Below are 13,271 nucleotides of genomic sequence, written 5' to 3' on the forward strand. Positions count from 1 at the left end.
CCTTGGCCTCTAGGTTTTCTGAAGACTTTGCTCTGTGCGTAGGTCTTAAATAGTGAACATACTAATTTCCATTTTCTAAATGCCCTAGTTTTACTTTCTATCTCTGTTTTTGCTTTCTTTATGCACTCTCTACATGTGTTTACAGATGTTTTTCATTTTTTTTCATCATTGCCTATTTTTCCCCTGCACTCAAAACATTTTATGGTATTTTTTTCTAATTGAAATCTTCATGAAATTTTAGTAACACAGATTTGGCTTATCTATTTATGTATAATATGTATATCTCTACTTCACAGATAAAAACTATAAAGTTTGCTCTTTTTATTCAAAGTAAAGAATGACAGAAATGTTAAACTAAAATCTAAGTTTAAAAGCTATTGACATTTAACTTAATTTGATAAGTATATTTGTGGAATAACTTTTAATGTAATTTGTTCATGTAAATTTTGTTTTATGAAATTACATATGCAAAATAAAAATCTATATAAATACACATTAATAATATGAATATAATTACATAGTTAATCATTCAAAACTGCTAAAAATATGAATCAATAATTTTTTAAAATTTTTCTCATAGTATATATATGAAGCTTTGAATTTTGCTTTATATGACAAAATAATTTGTAAACTTAACTAGCTCCAGCATTCATCCAGATATTGCCAACACATTTTTCTTTTCAGCACTTGACATAAATATTGATGTGTTGAATAACTTTAGTAGAAATAAATCACATAATATAAGCTATTTGCATTGAATTCTCAAAGTCTACAAAACATCCTGAAGAACTGAGGATCAAACATAAGCAATAACCATAAGATAGTCAATGACAGCCCAAAGATATGCAGGTTAAAGCCACATATTGTGATAAGACTTTAAGATCCAGCAAAAAAAAAATGGACAAAAAGTCCTCCAATCACAGTCATCTATTTGCCATAGGTTTGTAACACTGATCTTGCTAATATTTTGTTTATCTTCATGAACTCAATACCGTGCTTCTCATATCATACACAAGAAAACCCAATGAGAAAGATGTATATTAAGCAATGAAATTTTGTTGGATAGAGTTGTTGGAGAATCACAAACTATTGTAATATGTGAGATTTGTTTATACTATGAGAACTAATTTTTGTACTCTTAGAAGAAGTATCATTCTAATAAATATATGTGACTTAGAAAATATTATCAATTAAATCATTTTTGGCATTTTTCATTGAAGTTCACATTCCCTAAAGGTTTTCAGAAGTTCCTATCCAAGTCAATTCTTATGAAAAAAGAGACCATCTTTGTTCTAAATTCATAAATTTATAAATATTGAATATTATCATGTAAAGAATTAACTTTCAGAGTGGTCCTGAACTCTGGGTCTACTTTTTTTTTTTTTTTTTTGCATAAGAAGTTAGTTTGCCTCTGCCCTATAGATACTGAGTCCTTAAATGGAATGAGGTCTGTTTTAGCAAATCAGCTATTTAGTAAGTGGAGTTTTTCTAGTTTCTCATTTTTTCTTCTACTGGAAAGTGTTCAAGAATGAGGCTATTTTTCTTCATCATGGCCATATTTGCTGCAATTATAAGACAATGACAAAAATTTCCATTCAGCTTTTACTCAGAATCAATAATGCCCATTAAGTTTACTGCTAAAACCAGTGGGATTCTGGGGATTCAAGTTGCAAGAGCAGCATAATATTATCCTTTGCCTGGCACTATATTAACTATTTATGACCTTATCTCTAATCTGTCCTCTACTTTGTTATAATAGAAAATAACTAGCCTGGTGTCAAATACAGAGTCACATATCTGAATTCAAACTCTCCAATTCACACGGTTTATAGGAATCAGAAAATTTACTATTCCCAAAATTAGGGAATAATAGCCTCTGTCCTCCAGATAATCCTACAGCTTTCCTTCCCTGGATCAAATCCCGAGAATGTGTATGTGAACTGTAAATACTTGTGACATCATTTTTCCATCATATATAAATTTCAGCTTCAAATCACGTGATAATCTTTAGATGACACTGGTAGAAAATCAGCCTGTTTATATAAAGGTAGAGATTATGAAATGGACCAATTTTAGAAAATAACCAAACACATTTTATTATTCATTATTTTAAATGATTCACTTACATTCTTTGTATAATTGAACAATTAAAATATTCTACATTGTGAAATGTGCACAGGGGTTTCCATAATAGAGGAGGTTTCATTTCAGAAATGTATATTTTCTACATCAATTTAGTAGTTGATCCAGTCAGCAAATTTGTATTGAATTTTGGGCTCATCCTTTGTATCAGACCCTGAGAATAAAGGGCAATTTTGCCCAAGTTATTATTCTTAGTCTTTGAAACACTGGGGGAGAGAGTAATTTTTCTTTGTTCACTTGAGATCGTATTGGGAATTTTTGCATATTAATTTTCATGTAGTATTTTACTGTGAAAATTTGTTTTTCTATACTTTGATTTCATTTTCATATTCAGGTTAGTGTCAATGAAAGAGTATAAATATAATGTTTAAATGGACTATACAATTGTTCTATGTGGCATTCACAACAACAAATACATTCATATTTCTCACTTCACTTTTCCTAGAAGGTAGAAGTGGTCTGATTTTTCATCTTAATTTATGGGAACAAAAAGAAAACAAACATATGTCTAAATGTGATAAACATGGAAGAGGAGAAATACCTAATGTAAATGACACATTAATGGGTGCAGCAAACCAACATGGCACATGTACACCTATGTAACAAATTTGCCCGTTGTGCACTTGTACCCTAGAACTTAAAGTATAATAATAATAATAAAAAACGTGACAAGAGGGGAACTTAGAAAACATCTTGAGACAGATGAAAATGAAAACACAACATACCAAAACATATGTGATGCAGTGAAATCAGAACTAAAGGGGAAATTGAAAGCTGTAAAAGCTTATATTAAAAAAGAAGAAAGACCTCAAACCAATGAACTAACTACAAATTAAGGAACTAGAAAAAGAAGAAATAAACACATAGCTAGGAAGAGGAAGAAAATAAGAAAGACTAAAGCAGAAATTAATAAAATACAGAATAGAAAAGCAATTAAAAAATCAATGGAACTAAGCATTAGTCTTTTGAAAGGATCAACAAAATTGACAAACCCTTAACTATTTTAAGAAATAAGTAGAGAAAAATCAAATAAAAATCAGAAATAAGAGAGGACACATAACAGCTGATGGCATAGACCTAAAAAGGATCAGCCGGGCGCGCTGGCTCACGCCTGTAATCCCAGCACTTTGAGAGGCCGAGGCGGGCAGATCACGATGTCAGGAGATCGAGACCATCCTGGCTAACACGGTGAAACCCCATCTCTACTAAAAATACAAAAAAGAAATTAGCCGGGCGTGGTGGCGGGCGCCTGTAGTCGAGGCTACTCAGGAGGCTGTGGCAGGAGATAGGTCTGAACCCGGGAGGCGGAGCTTGCAGTGAGCCAAGATCGCGCCACTGCACTCCAACCTGGGCGACAGAGCAAGACTTCATCTCAAAAAAAAAAAAAAAAAAAAAAGTAAAATGGATTATAACAGACTACTACGAACAATTATACTCCAACAAATTGATTAACTTAGAAGAAATATATAAATTCCTAGAAACAAACAACTTACCAAGACCAAATCATGAATAAACAAAAAATCTGACTAGACCTATAACTAGTAAGGAGATTGAATCAGTCACCAAACTTCCCAATAACAACAACAATAAAAAACCATAATCAGATGGCTTCAGTGGATAATTCTATCAAACATTTAGGGAATTAACACCAATCTTTCTCAAAATCTTCCAAAAAATTGAAAAGGAAGGAATAGTTTCAAACTCATTTTATGAGACTAGCATTTTCCTGATAACAAAGCCAGACAAGGACACTACAAGAAAAGAAAACTAACAGATCCATATCCATGATAAATGTTGATACAAAAATCCTCACTAAAATACTTGTAAACCAAATTCAACAGCACAATAAAAGGATTATAGATCACGACCAAAGGGGATTTATTACTTGGATGGAAGAATGTTTCAACATATGAAAATTAATCAATGCAATACATCACATTAACAAAATGAATGAAAAATATACATAATAATCTCTACAGATACGGAAAAAGAAATAGACAAAATGCCATATCTTTTCATGATAAAAACATTTAACAAACTTGGAATAAAAGGAAGTTACCTCCACATAATAAAGGCCATGTACGAAAAGCCCACAATTAACATTATATTCAATGGTGAGAAACTGAAGGCTTTTCCTCTAAGATCAGGAACAAGTAGGGATGCCATTGTTACCACTTTTATACAACATAACATTTGTAGATCTAGCCATAGCAATTAACAAGAAAAAGAAATAAAAAGCATTCATATTGGAAAGGAAGAAGTAAAATTATCTTTTTGCAGATAGCCTGATCGTGTATGTAGAAAACCTAAAGTTCACACACACGCATGCACTCACATACAAACTGTTAGAACTAATAAATGAATTCAGCATAGTTGTAGAATACAAAATTAAGATGCAAAAATGAGTAGCATTTTTATATGCTAACAATGGACAAATCTGAAAAGGAAACTTAAAAAAAAACCACATTTGCAATAGCATCAAAACAATAAAGTACTGAGGAATAAACTTAAAGAAAGTGGAAAAAGATTTATATATTGAAAACTAGCAATCACTGCTGAAAGAAATTAAGGAAGAGAAATGAGAAGACATTTCTGTTCATGGTTGGGAAGCCCATCATCGTTATAGTGTTCAAACTATCCAAAGCAATAGACAGATACAATGCAAGCCCTATCAAAATCACTAAGGCATTTTTGGCAGAAGTAGAAAAATCTGTCCTAAAACTCTTATGGAATCTTGAAGGACCAGAATCAATCTTCAGAAAGACAAGCAAAGCTAGAGGCCTCACCCTACCTGATTTTGAAACACATTACAAGCCTACAGTAATAGAAATGGAATGATACTGATATAAAGATGGACATATAGGCCAATGGGAGAGAATAGAAAGCCCAGAAGTAAACTCTCATGTATATGGTCAAATGAACTTTGACAAAAGTGCCAAGGCTACACAATGGTTAAAGATCAACTCTTCAAAAATCAGGTTGTGAAAACTGTATATACACATGCAAAGGAATGAAGTTGCATCCTTACTGTACACTATATGCTAAAATTAACTCAAAATAGATCAAAGATTTAAACATAAGACCTGAAACTGTAAAAACTTTAGAAGAAAATCTTCAGGGAAGGCTCAGACAATGGGTTTGGCAATGAAATCTTGGATATCACACCAAAACACAGGTAACTAAAGTAAAAATAGATAAATTGGAGTATACAAAGATTAAAAATCACTGTGCATTCAAGGACAAAATCAAGAGTCAAAACTCAAACCTCAGAATGGCAGAAAATATTTGCAAATCATGTATTTGATAAAAGTAATAGCCTATTCAGAACATAGAAGGAACTCCCATATCTCAACAAAAAAATATAACTTGAGTAAGGAATATGAATAGATATTTATTCAAAAAAGATATACAAATGGCCAACAAGCATATTTCTCTGGCCTGAATGTTTGTGCCCTGCCAAAATTCATATGTTGAAACCCTAACTCTTAGGGCGATGGTGTTAGGACATGCGCCTTTTTGGGATGTGATTAATTCCATTGTGGCTCATTGTGAAATAGGACACGGGCCACAATCACACACCAAATCTGCTGGTACCTTGATTCTTGGGCTTTCCACCCTCCAGAACTGTGAGAAATAAATTTATGTTATTTATAAACTACCTAATTGATGATATTTCATTATAGCAACCTGAATGAACTAAGGAACATAGGAAAAGATCCTCAACATCACTATTAGGGAAATGCAAATCAAAGTCACAATGAGATTTGAATTCACATCTATCAAGGTGGCTACCATCAAAATAAATAAAATAACAAGTGTTGGTGAAGATGTGGAGAAATTGGAACCCTTGTGCACTGTTGGTGGAAATGTAAAATGGTGCAGCGCAGCCACAATGGAAAACAGGTATCTCAAAAAATTAAAAACAGAATTACCATATAATCTAGGAATTCCACTTATGGATATATATTTAGAATCCTTTTTGTTTTGTTTTGTTTTGTTTTTATGATGGAGTATCACTCTGTCGCCCAGGCTGGAGTGCAGTGGCACAATCTCGGCTCACTGCAAGCTCTGGGAAATCTCTGCCTCCCAGGTTCACGCCATTCTCCTGTCTCAGCCTCCCAGGTAGCTGGGACTACAGGCGTCCGCCACCATGCCTGGCTAGTTTTTTTGTTTTTTTAGTAGCGATGGGGTTTCACCATGTTAGCCAGGATGATCTTCATCTCCTGACCTCGTGATCTGCCCACATCGGCCTCCCAAAGTGCTGGGATTACAGGCATGAGCCACCGCGCCTGGCCTAGAATACTTTTTAAAAATGAGATTCAAAGATACATTTTTACATCCATCTTCATAACAATAGCCAAAAGTTGGAAGCAACCCAAGTGTCCATTGATGGATGAATAAACAAACTGTGATATATACATATAATGGAATATCATTCAGCCTCATATATATTTCATTAAGCATATAATGGACTATATTATTCAGTCTTATACCATGGATGATTATTCTGACTTATCATATTATTCAGGAAAATGTGGTATATACAGATAATGGAATGTATTCAGCATAATTCTGACATATACTACAGCGTGAGGACCTAATGTAAGCCAGGCACAAACAGACAAATGTAATATGATTTCAATCATATGAGTTATCTAGAGTAGATAAATTCATAGAAACAGAAAGTAAAACGGTTGTCAGGGGTGGGGGTCCAGGGGAGAGGAGATAAGGAGCTGTTGTTTAATGAGTATGGTTTTGGTTTTCCAAGACGAAAAACTGATGATCAGTTGCATGGCAATGTGAATTTACTTAATACTGCTAAGCTGTACACTTAAAAATGGTTAAAATGGTAGATGTTGATAAGATGTGGGCATGGGCTCAAAGAAAAGTAAGCATTCCTGGTCCAGATTTTGGCTTTCAGATTTGCTGAATTCTGTCTTCACAGAGTCAAGGGAGTCATATCAGCTAACTCAGAAGAGTTTATACACAAGAAGGCAAATTTTTGAGAGTCTAGTATTTTTTTTTCTGGGTAGTCCTAAATGTTAATTGCACTAAATTCTCCCCTGGTATATAAATAAATTGAGCAGATAAATAATTTGCTTGTCATATATCTAACAAGAAGTAAGGAAATAGATAATTGGAAACAATACTTCCCCCATCTTAATAGAGTTAAATAACAAAAATAACGTTAATTAAAAGAACTAAATAGCTAAATTATAGAATATATTTACTATCAGTCAGACATTGTTGTTAGTACTTACAAATCAATCCTCATTTTACCCAGTGAAGAATAAGCCCCATGTTGCATACATGTTGAACACCTATTATGTGCCCTGTCCTGTTAAGTCACTGGAGACATCTGTGGCTACAGCAGGCAGTGATAAATTCTACTATTTTCCTCATTTTTAAGAGAACAAACCTAAGCACAGGGAGCTATTGAACTGTGGAGCCACTGTTGGAACCCAGAAAATCCCATTTAGAGTACTCAGCTCTTAGATGTGCTCTGGTAATATGTCATAAGAACCAGAGCTGATTTCTAGACTCTGGTCCACATTTTTCTTTCCAGCAGAGCCCTACCTAAATAATGAGAGGGTCTTTCTCTTCTCTTCTTATTCCTCTTCTCCACTGAGAAGCTTCATTTGCTCATGCCAGACATGTTTTATTATGAAATTGGGCCTCATGTTACTTACATATATATCCTAGTTTTGTCTTTCTAAGACTGTATTTTCATAAACTTGAATATATTTGTGAAACATTTTGTTCACCCCAGTAATATATCCATAGGCAACTCTTTGAAACCCTACATATTTCTATCCATTTATGAAAATGTCCACAAGGCTTCAGATTTCTATCTGTTTGTCACACACCTTTGTGTCATCACCAGGATATAAGCATGCGCTAAAATCAGAACTAAACCAACCAAATGAAGGCTCAGAGCTCAGGGAGGGCACATCTAGAAGGGCTCACTAAAGGAATTAGAGGTGTGGAAATGTAAGCACATCTGGGGAAGAGAGGAGAGCCCAGTGCATTAGAGGAGAAGGACTGAGATGACCGAAGACTGAATCACCTCACTTGGCAGCTGGTTGATGCCTTTTTTAGGGTTTGCTGCTGGGTTGATTGCACATTCTGACTGGAGGAACCCTAATAGCTAAGGAACAATCTTTTAGACAGTTACATTATAGATAGAATTTTCTGTCTTCTGAAAAAAATTAGGAATCTAATGAATGATTTAAATCAACTAAATACATAAACAAATTTTAAACCAGTAAGGTCTAGAATCTTGAAAATCTATTCATTTTTAACTTTTTACTTTCAAACAATTTTAGATTTACAAAGAATTGCAAAGATACTATAAAATTTTGCTTATGCCCTTAACCCAGCTTCTTCTCATGTTAACAACATACATGACCATGTTGTAATGAATCAAAACAAAGAAATGAACATTGGGGCCATATTACTAACTTTCAGATTTTACTAAGATTTCCTCAGATTTTTAAAAACTGATGTTTTATCTTATTTCAAGAATCAGTCCAAATTGATTCTTGATTTGGATTGATTTTTGTCAATCCAAATTGTTGGATTGTTGTCATACCTTCAGTCTCCTCCAATCTGTAACGCATGCTCAGTCTTTCTTTGGCTTTCATGACATTGAAACTTTTGAAGAATATTGGTCACTTATTTCATAGACTGTTCACCAATTTGGATTTGTCTAATGTTTACTCAGGATTATGCTGAGGTTGTATGTTTAAAGGGTTGAAACCACAGAGTTTATCTGATCGTCTCATCACACAATATCCAAGGTACATGATATTGATATCTTTTATTACATATCTTTTATTACTGCTGATGTTAACTTAATCACTTGGTTAAGATGGTGTTTGCCAGACTTCTGTCCTATAAAGTTACTATTTTTGCCCTCTACACACTACATGGTAGAAGCATATCACTAAATAGCAGCCTACACTCAAGTCTCTAATCTAGTTTCCCTCATTCATTTTTATGTTATCTTACATTCTTGGTGATATCATGTAATTAGCCATTTTAGGATTCACAAATGTTTATGATTTCCTGAAGCCAGTGCTCTCTATCTTAGAACAACTCTAAATTTAATCAGGAAATAATGCAAGCAATAATATTAAAATGTATAAAGGGATTCTTGAACTTAGGTAGCTCAATCAGAAGAATTAAATGAGTTTTAAAATATCAGAAGTAATATAAGTGTAGCAGTTTGTAAGTTTAGCAACCATATTAATACAGAAAAAAAAAACAGAAAAAGTTGTATTATCAGAATTAACGAGATTTACGGTAGAGCTGCATCTATTGTTAATAACAAAGAAAATAAAATTGCAATAGAATGTTGTGCAATAATTGCTTGTCACTCTAACAAAAATTAATTTGGATTCTCATAGCATATTAAAAAAACTCTAATATATTACATAATTAAATGTAAAAACATATTTACAAGAACAGAAACTGAATATGTGTAAATCAAAAGACTTAAGGAGGCATGTGGCTCTATGTTCTAGACAGTGCTTGGAAAAATATACAAGGAACTGTTTAGTGTTTGGTACACACATGAAATAAAGAATAAGTATCCATCAAAAGATTATGGCTACAATGTGCAGGAAATGTTTTGACAATGATTAGGAATTCTAAAATTATAAATCAATAATGTAAATAAACAACATTGAAACTAGAGTAAATGAAATAACAGGTAAAGTAAAATCAAAATTGTAAAACTTAATTGAAAAAAGAATTTAAATTAGCAAGTAAATGGGTTACTATTGAAATTTACTACCAGGTAGTATTAATTAGAATAATGATAAATTACCTCTCAGCCAAATAAATAAGCAACATTTTAAATAAAAAATACAATTAATAGGTTAAATAAATGAAATATTAAAGATGTTCAGTACAGCATGGAATAATAATGCATTGTATACTTGAAATTTGCTAAGGGAGTAGATATTATATGTTCTCACCATGCACAATAAAATATTATAACTATGTTAGGTGAAGGATGTGTTAACTTGATTGTCAGAATCATTACAACAAGGCATAATTAAAGCAAAACACTATGTTGTACACCTTAAATCCATAAATTTTAATTTCTCAACTATATATCAACAAAAAATGTTTAAAGATTTTGTTCGAATTCATCTATTCTTTGAAAATGATTTTCAGAAAACACTAACAAAATATGCATGAAGATCTTAACCCACATTCTTCTACAAGTATCATCTTATTTCCCTACTCCACAAACAAGTTTCCCACCATAATTTTTTATGCATAGAACACCCAAATACCCTTATTGTATTTCTTCTTCAACCCACTCCCATCAAGTTTCTGTCCCATTCATTTTACTAAACCTAGATCCACCTAAGGTCACTGATGGCATCTGTTTTTGAGTCCGTTAGGACAGGTCAGCCTTCATCTTCCCTGAAAACACCACTGTCTACCCCTCGCTTGTCTCTCCCTCATTCTTTGCTATTTCTCCTTCCAGCTGCACTGACCACTCCTCCTAAGTGCTCTTTGACCTTCACAGACTCTCCTTCTCTGCCCTACCAATGACTGTTGAGGATCTGCAGGACTAAGTTTAGATCCTGTCTCATCGTTCCCTCAATTTATAACTATGTTAGGTGACAGATTCCCTAATATCCATTCTCATGTCCTCAATACCAGACATGCAGTAAAGAATCCCAAATTAATACCTTTGCCCATGGCATTTGTTGTTCATTCTAGACCCATATTCCCAGCTGCCAATAAGATTCTGGAAATACTGTTTCCCTTGGTATCTGTGGGATTTTTGTTCTAAGACTCCACACCTGTCCTCCAGATACCCAAATCTGTGAAAACTCAAGTCCTGCAGTCCCCTTCATATATGCGAGTTTCACATCCCACAAATGCTGTATTTTCTATCCAGTTTAGTTTTACATGCAGAAAATACAGATATGGAAGGTGAACTGTATTGGAAAAAAAAAAACCTGTATAAGTGGACCCATGCAGTTCAGAAGTTCAATCCCATGCTGTTCAAGGGCTACCTGTACATATACCCCAAGTACCTTAAGAAGGACATCTAACATTGTTTTCCCTGCCTGGCATCATTTGTATCTAAAACTTCTGGTGTGAGAACATTGTTTTCCTTTACTTCTTTTTCAAGCTTTTAAGAGAATTGCAATAAAGTAAGCATTAGTCCTGTTTTTACATCTCTTTCTCTGTAAGATGGAGAGTGCTTTATTCAATTTATTTCTTGAAGGGAACTCTACAATCTGCCACTTACTTAGCTTATACATATAATGTGAATGGAATAAATGAGTAAATATATTTTATTGTCCTTCCTTCAATTATGTTAAAAATGTGGGTGTGGATTTTGTTTTTAGAAAAAAGATTTCCAGGCATTTTCCTTAATGAATAAAACAAACGAGAATTTAATGAATAAAACAAATGCAAATTTAATGACATGGAAAGACGAATATATTTGTAAATTTTAACACAATGTAAAGATGAATATGTTATTATATGTAAAATATCTAAATATTATAAATGAAACAGCTGCAAAAAGAATGGAAATAAGTAAGTATATAAAACATATCAGGGCAGTCATGTCTTAGGAACTGAAGACCAGAGCCAAAGGTTTTTAACATATACTTGCTTACTATTGTTAACAAGGTATTTGCTGAATTTAATTCAATAAATTCTGTGACAACTGCAGAAAAAAGAACCTATTGAAATGACCAAAGACACATGTGCAAGTGTGATATGGCAGATTAATCAATGAGAATAATTTCAGGATGAACCCAGGTCTTCATCCTTACTTCTCAGTCCTTCTTGCAAGTTTGTTGATGATGAAGAGAAGGATTTCACGATTCCACTCTGACAACCTCCCAAGCACAGTCACTGTATTTCTTCTCCTCCAGGTAGATTCCCTGGATTCCCATGCATTCCCTGAAAGTACGTCCTCAAGGCCAGTGTAGGGCCCCAATCACCCCACAGATTCTTCCTCTCTTTTTGTCTGCCCTAAGCAAGACTCCAGGCATTCCAGCTGCAGATGAAGTCCAGTGTGGAGTTGGTCCAGGAGGGTCATGTTCCAGGCAGCAGAGGAGCACTCTGTGGGGAAGAGGCTGAAGATCTGCTGAAGCATCTCATGGAGGACAGACAGGGCCGGGGCCTTCTGCAACTGACTGCCATCCACATCTCCAGGGGGAACCTGAAGTCTCTTCTGTCCTTGAGACACAAGAAAGTGGAGATTCTGCACATTTGGCCCAGAAGTGCCAAGGTGTTCCTGCTAAGTAGGCCATGGTTCTGAGGCAGGTCCCAGCTCAGAGATCCAACAGGGCCACAGTGGCAAAGCGGCAGGGCCACGAGTAGAGGAAGCAGGAGGACCATTGGGAAACGAGGGTGCTGCTGGCCTAGCTGAGCTGGGGTCTGGATGAACCTTGGACTTCAGGTTCTCTGAAGGCATTCCTGCTATGCATGGCTCTTAGTTGGAAAAAAATAGCTTTCAGGGTTGGTCAAGATGGCCAACGAGAAGCTGCTAGTGTGTGCCACTCTCAAGTAGAGAAATGGAAGGGGCAAGTACATACAGCACCTTCAACTGAAACATCCAGGTACACACATTGGGACTCAAGAAAACAACTTGACCAGTGGAGAACAGAGTAAAGCAAGGCAGGATGACTGCCTACCCAGGAGTGACACAGAGCCAGGGGAGCCTCCCCAACCAGGGAAGTGGTAAGTGAGCAGCCTTGGGGACCCACGCTTCTCCCACAAATCTTTGCAACCCTCAGGTCAGGAGATCTCCTAGTGAACTCACTCTACCAGGGCCTCCAGTCTGACATGCGGGGCTGTGTAGGGTTTCAGCAGAGCAGCCACTCAGCATACCTGGGGAACCTGGAGCCTTAGATACCCAGGCTTCCCCACAAAAGAAGCTATAACTCCAGCCAAGCAGGAGGCTAGACCGCTATACATACCCCAGTGAAAGGGGTTTCATCCATGGGGCTGAGCAGTGACAAGTGGCAGGCCCACCTTCCATGGTCTGTCTCAGGGTAAGACCCACTGGCTTGGGAATCCAGCCAGCCACTGGTAGCACCCTCACACCCCCCTGACATGGAGCTCCCAGCGGCAGGGTGTGG

General features: G+C 35.3%; 1 pseudogene; it reads right to left on the reverse strand.

Annotated features, from left to right (window-relative positions):
- IFNWP15 (interferon omega 1 pseudogene 15) lies at positions 11,655-12,646 on the reverse strand (annotated as a pseudogene).

The sequence above is a fragment of the Homo sapiens genome, chromosome 9 (genome assembly GCF_000001405.40).
Source record: "Homo sapiens chromosome 9, GRCh38.p14 Primary Assembly".
Lineage (NCBI taxonomy): Eukaryota > Metazoa > Chordata > Mammalia > Primates > Hominidae > Homo > Homo sapiens.